This window comes from Homo sapiens, chromosome X (genome assembly GCF_000001405.40).
Source record: "Homo sapiens chromosome X, GRCh38.p14 Primary Assembly".
Lineage (NCBI taxonomy): Eukaryota > Metazoa > Chordata > Mammalia > Primates > Hominidae > Homo > Homo sapiens.
This window is the reverse complement of record NC_000023.11, coordinates 21,594,078-21,615,198: the sequence shown is the minus strand read 5'-3', so window position 1 is coordinate 21,615,198 and position 21,121 is coordinate 21,594,078. Positions and strand designations below refer to the sequence as shown.

The window sequence follows — 21,121 nt, the reverse complement described above, 5'->3', positions numbered from 1 at the left end:
AAAAGTGAAACACTGCTTGAACAAATATAATTTGAAGACAAAACATACACAGTAATAGAGCTGCTCATGCAGAAAGTAATGATAAGCAGTTTTGCACATTTCTCTTTCTCATCACCATAAAAACAAATCAAGGTTAGTCTAAACTGTTCATATCATTCCATTTCCCTTGTCATTTGTTTAGGCATGCACATGTGATGCAACCTTGGCAATGAAATCTGGGTATAAGTCTGCTGGAAGGATCCATGGAAAGTTTCCCTTGGTCTTATAGAAAGGACTAAAGATAGGGCCTGGTCTTTGGCTTTTTGAATGCTGTCTCATGAGAAATGATGCTTGGAGCTCTTGCATTACAGAAAAATGAATGGAGAGTCCTGACATTGGTAAGCCATGAAATTCACCCCAGAACAACCCCACCTCTGAACTTCCTGTAAGTTAATAACTTTCTCTCATTTTTTTAGCCAAAAAATGGAGGTGTAATTAAAAATCTAACCTATAACCAGTATCAGAATTATAGCTAATCTTCAGTGTTTTATGTCTCCCTAACAGTATTTCTTCAAAATCAGACAATATATTAAAATAATTTTCTCACTACTTTCTAGGTTTTTCTGTTTTTTTTAAATACATATTTGTTATATAATCAGCCAAGGATGGTGTGCTCAACTTTACAAAAGTGATATAGTTAAGGTTCTCTGCCATTTTTTCTTTGACTTTATCATGTCTTTTTCTTCACACTGTGTATATCCTTCTCCATCTACTCCCTTTAGACATGAACTATAACTTAAGATATTAATGATGATTATGCTCTTTAAAATTATTTGTGTGTGTATATAATTTATCTTGATAATAAAAAAGTGAGAAGTGTTGCAACATTTTTATTTTCAACTTGTTCCTTTTCTTCCTTCAATACAATTTCATATTCTGGGAATACCTTCTCCTTGTCTACATATCTCCTACTTTAATGTTCTTAAAAATAGAATTCATGACCTTTAGAAAATCTTCAGGAAATGAAGATAGGACCCTTAAAATGATTGACAAGAATTAATGTATCTTCTGCTCTGTATTTGTACTCATAATCTAGCCCCTATGCCCTAATAATTTAAGATTTTAGGCTACTGAGTGGCATATTCTACACAGCTCCTAAGTTATTAATAGTGTACAAAGAATGTTAGATTTTTTACTTATTTATTTATTTATTTTGTTTATTTATAGAGCAGGTTATAAGACCGGCTAATTTTTTTTCTTTCTTTCTTTTTTTTTTTTTTGGAGACAGAGTCTTGCTCTGTCATCCAGGCTGGAGTGCAGTGGCATGATCTTGGCTCACTGCAACCTCCACCTCCCGGGTTCAAGCAATTCTCCCGTCTCAGCCACCTAGTAGCTGGGATTACAGGTATGTGCCACCACGCCTGGCTAATTTTTGTATTTTTCGTAGAGACAGGGTTTTGCCATGTTGGCCAGGCTGGTTTCAAATTCCTGACCTCAAGTGATCCTCCGCCTTGGCCTCCCAAAGTGCTGGGATTACAGGCGTGAGCCACAAAACTCAGTCTAGATTTTTAAAAATAACCTTAAAATATATTTCTCAGCAGATCTCATTTTGAAAGTGTCAATAATATTTCAGCCTGATAATCTAATGTGTACAGTGGCTCCAAGGTAATAGATTTTATTCCCCCTTAAAAGACCTAGGTTTTGCTTTAGATTTCTAAGCCCAAGCTACATATACGTGTAAATTAAGTGAGAATACTGGTAGGTAATCTTCAAGACAATGATAAAGGACATCATGACTTCACCGAGTAAATGAAGGCATCAAGAGTCCAGGAGAGTTCCCTTATAATTGCTTAGGGGAAAATCAGCAGGATTAAGGGATAATGGTTTTCAAAACCTCATCTGAATTGGCTAGTACATACGGCAAAGGAAAGCGAGATTTTCTAAGCTGACTTCAAGCTGTATTAACCAAAATAGTATTTTAATGTTATGGCAGATTATTTCTGAATGAAATATATCTTCATATTTTGTCCCATACTTTCATAATTTATATTCCTTTAAAGGTGCATAGAATGACATAATTTGTAAGTTAATTTAGCTGATGTCTTATAATGTCCATACCAGGTAAGGTTTGAAACTGCTAATTGGGATAACAGGAAATTACTTGTCTTTTCTCAAATGTCAGTGAAGCAGGTCAAGACAATTAATATGCAAGCTGACTTTTCAGTCAAAGGAAAACAAGACAGGTCTCATTTGTGTACTTTTAGTACCATCCATTTCAGACTAAAATGAGTTCAGCCTAAGAAAATCACAGTATGACTCAGTTAAATAATTGAATTTCAAAATAAGGCAAAAGGTAGTTCAACTACGAGAACACAGATTGAAGTCTGTTCTAAGGAAGGCTAAATATATACTTTATAAGCAGGGCCAAATTCCATACCCATAAGGAAAATGAAAAACAGCTAAGGCATGGATTTAGGTATATCTTGCTTCTTAGATTGCTCTGTAAGCTCATAAGCACTATATAACATATATTGTGATATAAGGTAAGATAAAACGTAAATGATAAGAAAGAGGTTTGGTTGATGACATAATTCTTCACCCTTAAAGCATATGACAGACTATATTTTCATGTTTTCTTCCATTATTTCTTTTGGCCACCTGATACTTCCTATTTTTAATTTCTTGGCAAACTGAGAAAAACGTTTGGAACTAGACATTAAACTTATTTCCTCTGCAGTTCTGTACTTGATGACTACAATTCACTTCAGGAGGTCAAACTGAATGCTGGCCTGGAGCAGGACAGTAAGTAACACACTGCTGTTGGACTTTGATTTTTAAAAGCACAGGTTGCCTGCTGAACTGTGTGGCAGCACAGTAAGCGCTCTGTGTTGGAGGACATGTACAGGACGTTAAGGCTGATGTAATGGCCACAGCTTCGTTTCCGTGTATAATTTTTGCTCTGCTGACATAACACCAGACAGCTTGATTTGAACAAGCAGCCTGAGTACTTACTCCTAATGGTCAATCCAGGGAAGCCATGAACATGACATCCCATAACTAGACCTTAAAGATTCTTTTGAAAACACTGGTTTTTAAAGCTGATGTTTCCTGAATAAGGTGTTCATCAAATTGCCCACTCCTAAATATTAGAAATAGCAATGCAGAAAACCATCATTAGAACAAACATACATTTCATTGAATAATAAGCATCTTCCAGGAAAGGATGAATGCACTACTCTGTTACGAACAGTTTGAAGTACACGGAGAAATCAAGTGGCAAGATTTATGGAAAAAATACCCAGAAAGAAATGGGGCCTGAAAGACAGTGCAAGGCCACTTTCAGTGAAGCAGATCTGACTGAAATAGCACGAAACATCCCACAATATTGAACCATAAAGACAAAAAGTACAATACCAAATTTACTGACACACTTACTAGGTCTGTTCTATCTTATAACAATTATTCTACAGAGAGCCCACTGAAAAAGATGGAAAGCACTGAATAACTACCCACTAAACTCATCTGAAATGTAAAGAAAAAACCCAACCAACTTAGGAGTGCATCTATTTGGCTAAAAAATCCAATCCACTAAACAACAAAAAAGATAATCTAGAAGAAAAAAATTGAAAGCTATCTAACTAGAAGTGCTCTGTGGACTACTGGAAACCTGAAGAATGAGCAAGCATGGTGCCATATTTTCCCTTCATGTCTTAGGACACGCTTGCTTCTTTCTACTCTTCCCTTATTCAATGACCAGGATGAACTGTTAAGTGCCTAGCTTATTCAAAACAAGACAACATTAGTGACTTAACCTGTAGGAATGATGAAATGTTTTCTGAACAGAATTCTCTATTTCAGAGGGCTGTGCCTAATTTCAACACAGTTTATCTTAAAATGGCTGAGATAAAGTGTTTTCTCCAATGTTTGTAAAAGAATAAACCTCACATACTTAGTCACAGCAGTTGTGTAGTACCTGAATGACAGTTGAAATGAAGTTTCTAACTCATCTTTAAATTTTAGAAGACAATTTATTAATTTTAGTAATCTTTAGAATATTAAACATTATTATTATGCTTGCCAGAATTCCTGCAGAGGACTAACATGGCTCCTAAATATTTCTTCCATAAACTCTGATAGATGTGAATGTTGAAAGGGCTTGGCAAGTAATGAATGGTAATTACTTTTCCTGTACTAACAACGTACCTTTTATAATGTTTCTCATGGAGATTATGGCTAAAATATACTTCACATGGAAACTGCCACAGCATATGAATTTTATTACAAGCAATTCTTATATTTTGTTGGTAGATGAGATAATATTAAATAATGCAATGAAGATCCACACCATAAAGGGAGGTCCACTGTATTTTCTTGTCAGTCATTTCCAAAGAGACTACCATTTTAAATGAGCCAAGCTTGACACTGACATGGGGCTCTTGACCTGTTGGTAATCTGTGAACTTTGAGATATTTTTCCATTTGTGATGAAGAACTTACACTAATATATTCTGTAATCAAAGTCCCATATATTTGTAAAATGGGCTGAAGGCTACACTCTGCTTTCATCTTTTTAAAAAGAGAAGTCTATTGCCCTAGGGGTACCAAACAAGTAACTGTGATTTCATCACCATTTGCTCAAGTTATCTGCGCTAATTGGCCCAGACTGCATTTTGAATAAAGAGATGTGAACAGTTTTATACTATTTCTTCTATATATTTTGTTTTGTGCATTTTATGTTCAGGACTTGTAGCCAAACCTAGATTTTCTTTCTTACTAAAATAACTGAGTTACAGCCTTTCCCTTAAACCAGCCTGGGTTTCTGGACTGATGTGTCATGTTAGTAATAAACAGAGGCTTGGTATGGCATGTTGAATAAAGAACTTAATAACTAGTAAAGATATTCTTAATGTCAACAAGGCAGAGGATTACTTCATTGACTTTTCTTATAAGAGTTGATTCACATAAATTGAGCTTTACGATCAACACACATACCAAGAAATTAGATGGATGCTTTTGGAAAATTGGTTTCTAGAAACAAATTCAGCTATTTGGAGTTGAAAGAAATGCTATGTGAAATCTCTCCTTGGAAAAACTATCTTTTGGATTTTTCCTTTAAATCTTCTGACAATAAAAAGGGAAGATAAATATGTATATGTATAGATGTGAGTGGGTGTGTGTGTATACTCAGTTATTCAACCAAGGCTCTGCTAACAACCTGCTTGAAACATTTATAGTTTCTTAACCCAACTCAGGGGGCAACCACTGTGGGCCAGTGAGATGGTGCATGCAAGTGAGAATAAAGTGGATAAGAGAAGGAAGAAAACAAAAACACCATTAACCTTAAAAGGCAAATGGCTAGTTGGAGAAAAAAATTATTTGCTCCAGCTGTGGGTATCTTGAGATTATAAGCTTCATTACTCATCATGTTTTCCCAAGTTACTGAAGTTCTGAAAGTAGGTCACCAAGGGAGACCTAACTTACTATATAGCAATACTATTATTTTAAGAAAAAAGGGAAGCAAGGTTCTATTTTCTTCAAATAAGAAGTTTGAAAAGGTCAGGACTTTGTGTACACAGGCTAAGAATCTCCAGAAACATACTTACTTTTTTCTCCTATGTTTTCCCCTGCTGCCTCCCCTTCCTCCTCCTCCTCCTCCTCCTCTTCCTCCACCTCTGGGGGTTGCACGTCATCCTGTGGGTCACAGGCACTAACTGGAGCATTCAGACAGCAATGGTTGAACCCGCTATCTCGAGGCAGAGTAAAACTTCGAGGCTTGCCCCCATTTCCATTTAGCACTTGCATCCTCTCACTCTCAGCTAAGGGGTATGGCCCATAGTGATCCTGCAGGTGGCATTTCTGAGTTGGCAGGGTAGACTGCCGCCTGTGCTCTGGGGAGATGGCCGCGGAGTCAGAGAAGACAGAATCCTCCAGGGGCAGAGTCTGAAGATAGTGTAAGCCTGAACTTGTCAGTGGCGTCTCAATTAAATCCTGCCAGGAGCGGCGCTGACTGGCTGTCTTGCGAATGGGAGACACTGCACTGCTCCCAGTTACTTCCTGGCGAAACTCCTCATGAGAAGACTGAGACTGAGAAGTCTCCGTGGAGGAAAGTCGGCTATGTTTTGCTTCCACATAAGGACTGGCGCAACTCATCTGTAGAAAGGAGCCCCTGATTAGTCTGTGCCAAAATAACAGACCACTTCCATTCCAAGGAACACATTCGGTTTCTACCAGGTAATATTTAAGTAGATGAACTCTTACGTAGTCATGTTAATGACTAGGCAAGTTTGCAGACATCTCAAAGTTAGGCCCCAGCTTACATTTTAAGAGACAGAGACATGGATGTATTGGAATGCGGCTATACCAAGGTCTCATGAAAAATCTGACATATTAATGCAAAATTTTACAACAATGCAAGTATAAGAGTTAGTGCTTACATAAGAAAATTCAGCAACTACAAAAATTTCACTTTAAAAACTATACATTTTCAGATCCTGAAGAAGTATTGTCCCTGGATTCATATTCCTGATTTCATGTAGCTTGGGCTTGGGGACTAGGAGAGAGTCTTTTGGATATGAGGATAGGCTGCCTATAAACAGAAAGAACCCTTCCTTTTCTTCATAGGAGAATGTCTGCTCCTATGGGTGCCAGAGAAAAGCTGTCTGATGGTCTTACTTTCTATGGGGTTAAAAATGTTAGGCAGGATGAGACTATACATTGCTAGGGATTACCATTAGCCTTGAGCATAGATACTGCAGGGCACATAAATATAAAAGAAAAATGGAAAATTTTTATCCCTGGAATTTAAAGCTTGGGACTATATGTTATAGCACAAAACATAACCAGAAAAAGGACTGGCATCAAGTGAACACTGTGAAATAGTTGCAGGCACCTCTACTGCCACAAGCCTTACTCTAGCTCTGGGGACTAACAAACACACCGGCCCAGGTCGAGCCTGATTTGTTAAATGTGATCATCACAAACAGGGCTGAGGTGGCAGCCAGGACACACCGGACTGAGGTGAAGCTGCATACCACTCCTCCTGGTAAAGGAGGAGAAGTTACTTGGCATCCTCTGCGGGCAGTCAGTTACCTTCCCACATGTTAATAATAATATGAATAGTTTTCTTCTTGAAATTCACAAATTGCCATGTTTAAGTAGCTGTTCAGTGAAGATGCTGTTTCCTATTCTTCCTCTTTTATAGATATTTTAAAGAAATTGTCCAGATCCTGACGTTTTAGAAAAAGAGAGAAAATATGAATTATCCCCCTGGAGTAATACTGAGATGGAATTAGGTTAGCTATTGTTGTCACCTAAATCCAGCTTCTATTTCCTATGTGGAAGACTTAGTCCCAAGATAGGCAGAATTGTTTCTTATGGCAATGTGACCATGGAATATTATTATTATTATTATTATTTTGAGACACAGTCTCACTCTGTCGCCCAGGCTGGAGTGCAGTGGTGTGATCTTGGATCACTGCAACCTCCACCTCCCAAGTTCAAGCGATTCTTGTGCCTCAGCCTCCCGAGTAGCTGGGATTACAGGTGCCCACCACCATGCCTGGCTAATTTTTGTATTTTTAGTAGAGATGGGGTTTCACCATGTTGGCCAGGCTGCTTTCGAACTCCTGACCTCAAGTGATCCGCCCGCCTTGGCCTCCCAAAGTGCTGGGATTAGACGCGTGAGCTACCATGCCCGGCCTGACCATGGAATATTATTGTCTAAACTGGAACATTACTGAGACACTCTTGGTAATTCTGATGGGAAAGGGCCATAAAGTGGGACAGTCCCAAGTAAACCAGCTGTTTACCCTATTAAAAGATCAAAGTACAGTCTATACACAGAGTAATTTACAGAGATTTGTCTGACACACCATACAAACATATACATTAAACCAGGTCCCATGGCTGCTGAAAAAGCTACATGCAAAAATATCTTCAATATAGATATAATATTAATTTTTATGAGTTCATTCTAAAGGACATAGGAATACACTTTATTAGTGTGGAATAGATAAGGTCATTTTATATACCTTTTTCTAAGAAAACTTTTTTGTTGTTGTTGATTATCTCCACGAAGGCTACCTTCATACAAACAGTATATTTTGTTAATAAAAGTGATGACATATTTATTCTGCCTGGAATCTGTAATGACTGTTTTTCCTGCTTAAATATTCTTTGTATACTTAAAAAAATTTGCTTATTGATTTTAGACTCCCAGTTTTCTTTTCCGCTGAGAAACCTTAAATTTGATATGCAATCTACTACATATGTTTTTAACATACAAAAGGATGTTTCAGGTAGAAGAATCTGGTGATAAGTAATGTTCTTGTTGCTAACTTACCGAGGGAGGTCGTGGGTATGTATCATATGGGGGTGGAGGGCTATCTTGTTTTGGTGTTGATGGAGTATCTGCTTCTTCCTTGTCACTCTCACTCCAGTAATCTGAAAATTCACAGACATGGATACGTCAACATTCTACTAAATGTTTCTGGTCATATTTTCACGAACATAAACTATCATTTAAAAAAAGGAAATTTAAATTCTGTTCCAACATCATGTTCCCCAGCACTACCTTACCCTTGGCCTACCAACTTTTATTTTCAGTTGAGTTTTGAGGAGAAAGTAAGTGTACAATCACCTAATTCTAACATCCTTTTAAAGCAAGCAGTTACATGCAGCCATAATTTTAGAGAGTTAAAAAGAACGTACTGCATGAGCTCAGTCAGGTTTAGGGTACCTCAGATTTCAGACCCAATTATTCTGAAGCTTCAGTTAATGAATGACATCACATGATGCCTCTTAAAGGTATATCATTTTATCCTAAAGATATTCAAAGAAAAGCAATACATACATTGCTGTAGATCTCTACAGATATAAACAACTCTAAAAATAATGCTCTCAATTCTCTTCTCTGGCTTCAGTTCACTGATTATCTAACAATCACTGTTTCCAGACTCATGCTGACATGAATCTCTATAACACCATACTCCCACCTCTCCTTGGAAACACATGGCAAATTCTGATTCTTGCCAAATGCAAAAGGGCAAATCTGCTGATGTGGGCTGCAAGTTCCAAACTTCCAGAACTACTTAAAAGGGTAGCAAATGTAAGCAGCTAGACAAAGTGACTTGGCAGACCTCAGGCAAGAGGGAGGGGAAAGAACTCTGAGAGAGAAGTTCAAATTACTAGAGTAAGTCAAATGCAGCAAAAGGGCTAATAATCGGAATCTGTTCCAGTAATATTCCAACCACCCTGTAACTGCTGGTTTTATTCTTTATATGATTTACAAGAAAAAACCTGAAGTATTATCCATCAATTTCAGATGATAAGAAAAAACATATTAAAACAAAAGTCTCCTTATTCTTATGAAAATTTAAATCACAAAAGAACTATCATAAGGCTTAACTAATATTCACATTTAGGTGAACAATCATGGCACGTATATTTACAGGAACCCCTCTCCACCCACGAATTCCCATATTGTAATATTTGTATATGGTTTCCCTGCAGTGCTGATTAATATTAATGATAATTACAGCTAACATACATTAAGAAATTACTACATATCAAATAGAAAGTAATAGATCTGGGATTTGAACTAAGAAACTGCCTTACCCTAAAGCTCTGGAGACTAAGTTGCTGGGACTCTTTTGTAAAGTATAGCAGGAGAGTTTGATGTGTATATTGATGAACATTTTATCCCCCTATCTCCTCCTGCTATGTACCTCCGGCTATTGTGAACATAAATTCTTCAGCAATGGAAGTTGGAAATAAAATACATTCTCAACTATATTCAGGCCTCAAAATACGAAGACTCTGAAAATTCTATTGCTGCTTTAATTATTCCTTTTGAGTAAAAGATAAGCAAAGACTAGTTAATCTTAATTTGATATCTGTTTTTTTTCCATTGGTTCATGCCAGTGACAGCCAGTATACCAAGTTTTCCCTCAAATATGAATTGGCACAGTTGCCCAGAAACGGACCCAGCAAATGCTGATGGAAAAACACATTAACTATATAGTCAGACAGGTGTAGGTTCGAATCTTAGCTAGACCACTTCCCATCTTGGTGCTCTTGTGGTGGTTATTTAACCTCTCTGAGTCTGTTTTGTTATCTGTAAAAGGGGTCTAATAATAACCGCCTTTCAGAGTTGTGTGTGTGTGGGCACTAAATAAGGAAACATATTCAAGTGCCTTGCATCTTGATAGCACTCAATAAATATTAGAACTGCTTATCTTCTTGGGTATATTTGTAGTAGCATGACAGGACAGTGTGACCTAGATCACATAAGAAATAAATGCCTGGTGTTCTTCTTCTTAGACATAAAGTTTTTCTTGTAGCAAGGCCCAGCAATGAAAAGTAAAATCTGGAGTCCTGGGGCCTGGGTTTGGTAGTTTTGTGAGAGCTTGAAATACTACTGGGAAATCACCCTGTAGGTAAATGGAATAAGCAAACCCGCCCCTGCCAAGGAAAGATCACCCTGCCAGCATTCTTCCCACTATTTCCAGGAACTGTGGCACCTGTGCAGAGTATCTCCTTGATGTTTGCACTGATGCCTTCAAGGCGTTAATACCTCAAGTGGTCCTTATTAGCACACTAAGGAGATGATCATGATTTTATCAAGGGTTCCATAGCTGTCACTACAAGTGACAGATTTTGGAAGGCTCCTTCTCTACTTTTTCCTTCCAGTTAAATTAGGAAGAATTTTAGTCCCACTATTTGATGGAATTCTTGTTTTTTATATATATATTTTTTATTATACTTTAAGTTCTAGGGTACATGTGCACAACGTGCAGGTTTGTTACATATGTATACATGTGCCATGTTGGTGTGCTGCACCCATTAACTTGTCATTTACATTAGGTATATCTCCTAGTGCTATCCCTTCCCCCTCCCCCCACTCCACAGCAGGCCCCGGTGTGTGATGTTCCCCTTCCACTGTCCAAGTGTTCTCATTGTTCAATTCAATCATCGTCAATCCAAAGTTTTCTTGGGTTGCCTAAGAAAAGGCTGAAATACTACTTTGCAAATTAATTTTTTTTCTTACACTAAGCTGTGTGTCTTTGAGAGAGCAATGACAGAGAAGAGGCTACATAGAAATTTCAGTTAGGCTCTTTTGGGTTTGTGTGGAAAATTAGAGACACACTGTTGCTTAGAGGATGAAAACTAGTCTGATTTTTATTCTAATGGCAAATTAATTTATTTTTCTTAGCTGTCTATATAGCACAAATTAAATGGATACTTTTAATGTCTCTTTCAATGATACGCAATTTTATAAGCAATCATGAAAAAGCAGTGCCAACACTAGAAGAGGAAAACTTCTACTTTATTTTCTCATGTTGACACAAAAGGATAATTTGAAAAAAAAAAGACTTTTTCATTTAGAACTGTCGAAGAAATACAATATATTTCATTCATTTTTGTGTGTGATTAAGGCTTTAAAAAGACCTTATGTGTGACTGAAAATAATGTCATGAATGTCTGTCTTGAAGCTGGAAAAAATACAAAAATGATCAGTAGACAATTAGCCAAATTGCTATCTTGGCAGCTGAATTAAGTGTAACTCTGTTTTCTCTAAGTACAACAACGGATGTTGAAAGAGAACCCCACATCTTTTATACTTCTGTAATCAAAGACAGCAATTCACTAAATTTTTATTTAAGTCAATGAAAGAGTCACTTCTAAGCTATACTGGCTATTTAGATGGAAACAGTATCTGGCAGCTATGTCCCTCCATTGTGGAGAAACATTCCCAGTCCTCAAAGAGCTATATTTTGTATTAAGCTTATCTTCATTACTTAGAATGGTACTCAGAAGATATAACTCTACTCAAATAACTCTACAGAAGGGTGAAGTAGATATGTGCATCTAGTAGTTTTCTACATGGAATACCATGCAACCTAATCATTCAGGAGGTAAGAAGTCTAATATGTTTCTGACCTATGATAAAGTGACTGAGGAACATGCATTCTATGTGGAAATCAAAATTATTTCAGAGATTCTGGTTGTATTGCATTAGCAAGATTCTTGTTGCATTAAATTGTAACTACTAGCTTCTGCCTATGATTCTCTACTTACATGATAGACCAATACATCACGAATCCACAGACTAAATACTTTTTGGAACCTGCATGTCCAATACAACTATATAGCTTACCAGTTATTTCATCCATAATAAAATTTGGCTATATAATACCAAGTACAAAGGAAGTTCACTAAAATCAAGATGAAGCTCAGGTTCGTAGTAATGCCAAGTAATAAAATACAGAAGTTAAGCCTAAGAACCAAGCTCCCTTATATTTATGCAAATTGAGTCAGAGATTCATTTTCCTATCAGTACATTGCCCACACTTCTAATTCTTGTCTTTAACAAATCAGAAAAAAATCTATAAACACTTTTAGAGAACTGTTTTATTCCTTTTAAAGAAATCTGAAAAGGAAGACTAATTTTTTTCAGTACTCTTACCATAAATTTAGGCCTATGCAAGTATAGTCTCTGCAGAGAACTGTTTTATTCCTTTTAAAGAAATCTGAAAAGGAACACTAATTTTTTTTCAGTACTCTTACCATAAATTTAGGCCTATGCAACATATAGTCTCTACTATATGGCCTGCAAAGCCCAAAATATTATTAGGTTCTTTACAGAAAAAATTTACTAATCTGTGCCTAAACATTTGCTGACATACTGGTTTTGGGATCTGGCTGTCTTCTTTAGATCTTTAAAAACTTTAGTTTTCAGGTGTTTTTTAAAAAAGAGTTGGCTGAAGGCCAGGCACGATGGCTCATGCCTGTAATCCCAGCATTTTGGGAGATCGGTGAATCGCTTGAGCCCGGGGGTTTGGGACCAGCATGGGCAACATGGCAAAATTCCGTCTCTACAAAAAACAACAAGCAAAAATAAAAACAAAAATTAGCCAGTTGTGGTGGTGTGTGCCTGTGGTCCCAGCTACTCAGGAGGCTGAGGTGGGAGGATCGTTGAACCTGGGAGGTCGAGGCTGCAGTGAGTCAAGATCAAGATCACGCCACCGCACTTCAGCCTGGGCATCGGAGTGAGACGTTACTTCAAAAAAACAAACAAACAAACAAACAAACAAAAAAAACAAAACCTGGCTGAGATTTTACTCTAAGTCTAAAAGGAAACAGAAGGCTTTTAGAATCTCCACATCAATAAACTGGCTATGCCCACTGAAGACACAACTACGAATAGGTTTGTGTTTATAAGTATGTCAATCTGTGGATTCTTTTAACAGATAATTTCAAAAACCTATTTACGTTTCCAAGGGATGTACAACAAACACCCTTTGGGAAATGTGAAGCCACCTAAGAACGATGACCACAGCTTTTGTTCTTAAGATTTCAATTCTGCACCATAACACTGTGTTTCATAAATCTGAGGTCAATACCAAGGCAAATTCCATAAGATCACAGAGTTACACAGTAACAGAGCTGAAGAACATTACCAAATGAGAAAATTTAAGAAAGAAAAGATCATCTCATTTCTTTGCATAAAAGGCCACTTAAATGTCTATAAAACTGCTAAATAGTAAAAATTGCTCACTGCTAAGGATCTGGACTTGGTTCAATCATAAGACCTATTATAGACTTTTTCCATTTTTAAGATTTTGTTTCTTCATAGGAAAGAGATGGGAGGAGGGGGTAACAAATAGGAGAGAACTCCACACTAGCTGCTCCAAAAATTTGAGCGTTCAGTCCCTATCTATATAAGTTGTTAAACCTCACTTAAGTGCCTAGAAGAGAAATAACCAAAAATTGACATGTATTTTCTCTCAAGTGATAGCAATGAATTTCTGTATAGGATAACTGCAGGAAAAAAAGTATAACATAATTATTTTAAAAAAGTATTCCTTTACCTTGTTCCTGCTTAATCCTCTCTCTTTCTGCATATCCTGCAGTCAGCATATTAATTCTGTTAAGCCACCTGAGAAAACAAATATTAAAATCAATAACATTGTAACCTAATTTCTTATATTTTACTTCCTAGAAACATTTATTTTAAAATGTCTAAGAATATACGGAATAATCCTACATATAAGATGTGTTCTTTGCTACTATTGATACATAGAATCTTTAATGAGATACAATTTGCTATAGTACAAATTGCTCCCATACCAAAGATGCTACTTCAATAGAAAAGTCTTGGGCAAAGCTGTTAATATCTGTAACATAAAGGGTTTGGAGATGACCAAAGCCATATTAATTCTATTGTTCCAAATGTAGAAGTACTCCAAATATTCCTGCTGTTCTGTTTCTTCAGAGCAAATGCTCCTTTAGAGATATTTAAACAGTATCAGGTTCAATTTATTCTGATGAGGGAAAAAAGTTATGGACCTTGCCTGTCAAAATAATAGTTTTATTATGAAATCATAGTTTTGATTAAGCTTATTTAACAATCTAACAGGAAACACATCTTGGGAGTACTTCGGACACTTGTCTCTAAATACAAGGGTATGGGGTTTTCCAAAGACACAATGAACTTATACAATTTTAACATCTGTTTAGATCTTGAACATGTATTTTCATGAGCAATTGTAAGTTAAAAATAAATCTCAGTTCTTTGCTCTTTCTGTAGTGCTGCTATTGCCAATGTAGGGACTGCCTAAAGCAAAGCACAGTTTTACTGTCTTTCTTTTGTCCCACCAGGGCTCTCCTTATGTTCATTATTTCAACTATTTACACTATCAGATTATCTAATCACAAGTCTTTAAACAACATGCAAATTTCCCTTTGGTCAATCCTGAGCCATAATCCATATACTTTCCCAAATCAGAAATTGAAGAAAAACCTACATTTCAAGCTAGCTTGAATATGTCCAGAATCACTAGTATGGTTAATGTCATTAAGTTGTGGAATAATCTAATCTAGATATATTTTTAAGAAAAAATTGTGTTTGAGAACTTTTTCTCCTAAGACATTTATCTTCCCTGTCAAGTGAAAGATCACATTCTTTGAAGTGACTCATATTTCATCATTTATGCCAAATGGTGTTAACTGTGCATCAGATACTTAGAATATCTTGAATCTTGAAAAGTGAGGAAATTCCTGTCTCTAATAGACAAAATCGCATCTATGGAAATTTAAGCTTTAATTGTAAGAATAGGTCAATTAAAACCTAACTTTATTTTAGCAAAACCTACAATGTAATTATCACCTCAGGTACATTTGGGAAGTGAAGAAAAGACTGGAGTAGAACTGGAATAAAATAAAGATTATCAAATGAATTCAGTAGCATGGTATATATATAGACACACACACACACATCCAGAAAATTATAAGCTATAAATCAAGAAGTAAACTTCATGACAATGTTTTAAAAATGACTCTAATCATTAGTAAAAGTTCAAAGTTAAAATTTAGTCTAAGTTGATTTGCAGTGAAAAAGGGGTTAAATTTGTACCACAAGGCATATCTTACCACTCTTGGGAAAGACTGGCCTGGTGCTTTTTGGTGAAAATGATGATAATACCACTAAAGAAAAATTTATCATTGAATTTTAATCCAGTGCCTTATCTTTACTACTTTAAAAAATATCACTGAAGGCTAGGCATGGTGGCTCACGCCTATAATCCCAGCACTTTGGGAGGCCGATGTGGGCGGATCACCTGATTTCAGGAGTTCGAAACCAGCCTCACCAACACGGTGAAACCCAGTCTCTACTAAATACAAAAAATTAGCCGGGTGTGGTGGCAGGCACCTGTAATCCCAGCTACTCGGGAGGCTGAGGCACGAGAATTGCTTGAAATTGGGAGGCGGAAGTTGCAGTGAGCTGACATCGTGCCACTGCACTCCAGCCTGGGTGACAGAGCGAGACTCCATCTCACACACACACACACACACACACACACACACACACACACACACACCAAAACAAAAAAAAACACTGAAATTTCATCTTATCAGAAATGTAAAGAACAAAGAGGTCCTTAAGAAATAAATTAGGAAACTAAAAAGGGGCTTGCTCAATTTTTCACTTCAACAGCATTTATTAAGTGTCTGCTATGTGCTGAACAATAAGCTATGTTTTAGGGATACGGAAATAAATAAGACGTAATTTCTGCCTTCAATTAACTCTAGATTTACTAAGTTTCACAAGACAATTGAAAGTTTAAACTATTCTTAAGAAGAAAAATTTTGTTAATTGAAGAAAAATTGTTTAGAAAGTGTGTGGATATACTCAGGCCACTGTGTAGAGCCACAAGGGGCTAAATACAACACAATTGTTGGTGCTATCTTGGATAAACTTATCCTTTAGGATTAAACTAGAAGATACTTACTGATTTACTTGTTACAGTTATAATTTAATATTTTAGGTTATTATGAAAGCAGACACATATGCATCAACTGATTCAAGCAACATTTATTAACAGCTATATGTGCCAGGTACCTGGGATACAGAGATAAAACAAAGTGCCTGCCTTCATGATTTCCATATCTTAGTGACGGAGATAAACACTAAACAGGGATGCAAATAAACATATGTGAAATAGTAGCAAATGCTATTTAAAAACAGACAAGCAAGCAAGTTAGAAAATTAGAATGCCAAAGATGCTGCGGATGAGGGAAGGCTATTTTAGGTAAGATGGTCAGAGATACAATATTGAATTTAGAATCTATTCAATATATTTATGAGGAAGATATTTAATAGCAGGTCTAAATTCAGTCAGTACCTTACCATATCACCAATGCTTTAAAATAGGAAAATACAGGTAAGGTGATATTGAACCTATAGCAAACATTCAAAGGAGATATTCACAACTGACAAAGAATAATGTGTTTGGAGGGAAATAAGAGAAAGAACCATGAGAGAAATGTATAAATAATAATTACCAAATAGGAATTGGTGAGTCATCACAATTACAAGAACATGTGTACTGACATGGTAAGGAATATATAGGCCAAACAAATTCAGTAAATAAGTCTTCAGAATACCTGAGTACTATGATGTTTTATTTTATCCCCACAGATTTTACACAGACAAGAAAAAAATCAGTTTTTAATGTTTCAGTGCTTATTTCTGATGAAACAGATGAACAGTAGTGGGGTGCCTAAAAGTGTTTTTGCAAATGACCTCACAATCAAACTTACTGCTTCTCAAAATAGAAGGTGATATTTTAATATTCTATGTGTATGTGTATGTATACACATATATAAATATTTGTTGTGTGTGTGTGTGTGTATATATATATATATATATGTGTATGATTTTACAGAAGAAAATTAAATGTAAGGATAACTTTTTAACACCAATTACTAGGTCCTGTCACCACCAGCATTACATTTGTTTTTTTTAAATGAGGAACAGAAAAATATATTTCTCTGAAACATGGTGTATTTTCATAAGAAGTAGGTATGATATTAAAAAATTATGAAATAATCACATACATTATATAATTATAATAATTTTTATAAATATATAATCTCTTGAAGGCTTAGATACATGCTTTTAAAAGATTACATATAGAACAAACCAACACCCAGATCATCTTGCTGTTATGTAACAGTCAGGTGACTTGACAAAGCTGTAGGTGGGTGTTCCTCCCCATCATTAATCCTCTGTGAATATTTGTAGCACTGACTCTTTCCCCCTTCTATTAACAAGTAATTAAAAATCTTCCCATTGAAAGTAGACATTAGGAATAGGGTTATTTTTTAGAAAGCAAAATTCAAAGCAAAACAATAAAAATCCATTTTAATTAAATTAAAATAAAATTCAGTATTTTGGGACAATTAAATTCTTAAAGTTGTAGTGGGCCATGGCAGGCTTTACATAAAACAGCACTTTTAAATGTATAATGTGGAGACGGCCTTTTTAATGTTTCACTTTTTTTCTTTCACCTATTGCTTAGAAAACCAACAAAATGAACCACACAAATTTGGTTTAGTTTCTGCGATATCCCGAACCAGATACAGCCACAAAATATTAGGAAAGAGCAGTGACATCAGCATCCTTTTGAAGCTACTGCTAACTTGGGGTGGGTAATGAGGGCCAAGAAGGATTTTATAGTTCATAAAATGCACTTTGAAAGAGGCAACTTCTAAGCTTAAAAAGATCCCAATTAGCATGTATTGTGAATGATTACATTGTATTAATTCTTGGAGTTGGCTGGATTCTAGTGCATCCATCTTGTAAGATACGATATGCTCATGTATGCCACTTAATTTCAGTGTGGTCATGATGAAAATTCTTCGTATTTATCCCAAGGGTATTGAGCTTAACATATGGTAAAATGGATAGTAAGTACTAGAACAGTGGAATTATAAAATAATTAAAACATAAAATGGAGTATCACACCTCTCCTTCTCCATGTGAATGTGAATAAATATTTTCATTTTGAGAACAAGGAGAAAAAACTATTTAAATTTTATAGCTTGGTGTGAAATTTCAAGAATGATAAGTTATATGAATTAAGAGAAGATTATGGAAACTATACGAAAGGCTCAATTCCTTTATTAGTAATAAAAGTTTTAATCAAGTGCTCTCAACACCATCTTTCTTTGCCATTTACTTGTATTCATATCCTTGCTTTGAAAAAAAAAAAACATGTTTGTATTCCCAAATGTCAAAGAACAAGATTATTTATAAAAGGACATTAAGTGTTCATTTAGTATGTTCAAGCAAATTTATGCAGCTATACAGTTTTGTGCTTAAAAATGCCTGGGTACAATTGTTTTAGAGAAAGGTAGATGGAGTAAGAACCCAACGTATATAAAAGGAATATATATTAATAGTAAACATTTATATAGTACTTATAATTTAGCAGGCACTGTTCTAAGTCCTTTATGTATGCTTATTTACTCCTTATAAAAGTCTTACTGATAGGGGTCAGTCTTATTTTCACTTTATTAAAGGGCTAATACCTCAGCATAGAGAGGTTCAGTTTCTTGCCCAAGGTCTCACAGCTAATCAGTGTAGAGCTGAGATTGGGCTGGTTATTAGCCCCATCCACCTCTTGTATAGATTGGACATTACTATATTGGAATGAAGAGGTCATGTTCTTTGTCCAAGGCTGTACAGCTATTAAGTGGTAGAGCTGGGATTTAGAGAGTCTGGTTGCAAAGTCCATGCTCCTGACCATGATGCTATGCTGCCTCTCCCTAACTGTAGGCAAGTTATATTTGTAATATGTACTGGCTAGTAAGTTATAGAAAGGAGGAAAATTTTGAATCTTAAGCTCAATTTCTATAATTCTAGAAAAGGAAGAGGGGAAAGGAAAGAGAAAGGAAGAAAGCACAAAATTCATAAAAGCCAAAGTATTAACATGAAGCAGAATGTGGTAGGTGATGAGAAAAGAAAAAAAATGTACATATAAGTTTTCCCTGAGCCACCAAGTAACCACTGAGCTATCTGATTTGTTGGTTGTGGTCCTGTCAGGTGAAAGATGAAAAGTGACAGAAAGAAATACTAATTTTTCTTAGGCCTGAATTATTGAGATGAATATTCTGTCAAAAATACTCAGTACTTCAAAAAGTCCGATTTTTTGGTAGACATCTCTTTTTCCCCCATCTGGGAGTCAATTTTAAGACATATTATTGAAATGAACTTAAAAAATCCCCTTTTTTTGGTGGTAGATTTTTTTGGGTCTGTATATGGTCTTGGTAAACTTGACAAAAATATTTAACGAGTTTATTTTGACTTTTTAAATGATGTTCTTTAAAATTAGATATGGCTGCATGGAGCTATTCTGGGTCTATTTTATTTTAAACTGATTGACCTAGAAACTTCAGTGACATTATTCTCTAAGAATTACTGTAGAAAATTTAGAATTCTAGGCCTCACTGACCTTCTACATACTCTGAAATACTTTACCTGTTCATATCATCAAGATGTTCAGCAGCAAAATAAAAGCTTTTGATTTTAGGATGACAGGCTTTGAATGCACTGCAAAAGGAAACAAAGTACATTTATTACAAATTGGGAAATAAGTTTGAACCAAATAATTCTGACGGGCAAAATTACCTCAACATCTAACCCGAGTTCACATATATAATGCTTCTATCATGGTGACAGAAATCAGTAAAAAGTTCAATTTTCTGCCCACAAAACTGCTTTCTTATTACCTCAATGTGAAAGCATTAAATGAGCAACCTATAATTTAAAAGCTGGAAATTAAAAAAAAAAACTATCGTTCCCTCTTCCCAAATAAAATCAACTTACTATTTTTTGCGGCATTCACTGGCTCTATCAATTTTAAATTCAGGCAGGCTAATGAATCCTTCTGCTTTTTCATCCTGAAGAGCCAAGACTCTTGGTTAGTTTATTATATACAAAGGTGTGAAGGTAATGATACTCTGTAACTATGGCTTAGATATCTGTACTAATAAATCCGTTCCTTTAATTCCTTAAATTTGACATTTTAGAGATAAGAATTCAATGCTTACCTGCTGTACTCCATAAATTGAAGATATATTTTGAACACTTAGAATACTACAAATTAAAGTATAGAACTTTTAAAAAGTCTTTTTCATATTAAAATGAGAATGGAAAATTCTTTAATTCTCAAAGTGGAATGTGTTTTATAACTAATTTTCTGGTCAGAACATACATACACTTCTATAACATATAAAATAAATGTAGTCCACTTTTGTAATTCACAATTTTCTATTTTCTTAATGTTCAGATGTAAAATATAGGGATGTTCACTGATTCAATTTTCCTCCAACAAATCTCTTATCAAATTTGATTTTCTCTAATTATGCAACAATGATCTTTTATTTAATTATTTTTAACTTTTATTTTAGGTTCAGGGGTACACGTGAAGGTTTGTTATACAGGTAAATGCGTGTCACAGGGGTTTTTTGTACAGATTATTTCATCACCCAGGCACTAATCCTGGTACCCAATAGTTATTCTTTCTGCTCCTCTCCCTCCTCCCATCCACCCTACTCAAGTAGGCCCCAGTGTCTGTTCCCTTCTTTGTGTGCATGAGTTCTCATTATTCAGTTCTCACATATGAGTGAGAACACGTGGTATTTGGTTTTCTGTTCCTGCATTTATTTGCAAAGGATAATAGCCTCCAGCTCCATCCACGTTCCTGCAAAAGACATAATCTCATTCTTTTTATGGCTGCGTAGTATTCCATGGTGTATATGTACCACATTTTCTTTATCCAATCTGTCAGTGATAT

At 35.6% G+C, this 21,121-nt stretch overlaps 1 protein-coding gene across 8 annotated transcripts in view; it reads right to left on the bottom strand.

Moving 5' to 3' along the window:
• CNKSR2 (connector enhancer of kinase suppressor of Ras 2) overlaps positions 1 to 21,121 on the bottom strand; it is a 280,272-nt gene that overhangs the window by 39,491 nt on the left and 219,660 nt on the right. For all 8 annotated transcript variants that reach the window (NM_014927.5, NM_001168647.3, NM_001330770.2 and 5 more), the window contains 5 exons: positions 20,152 to 20,225; positions 19,804 to 19,875; positions 13,850 to 13,917; positions 8,320 to 8,420; positions 5,582 to 6,128 (listed from right to left, as the gene is read on the bottom strand). In NM_014927.5, coding sequence (NP_055742.2) covers positions 5,582 to 6,128; positions 8,320 to 8,420; positions 13,850 to 13,917; positions 19,804 to 19,875; positions 20,152 to 20,225 — 862 coding nt within the window. The remainder of the gene's footprint in view (positions 1 to 5,581; positions 6,129 to 8,319; positions 8,421 to 13,849; positions 13,918 to 19,803; positions 19,876 to 20,151; positions 20,226 to 21,121) is intronic.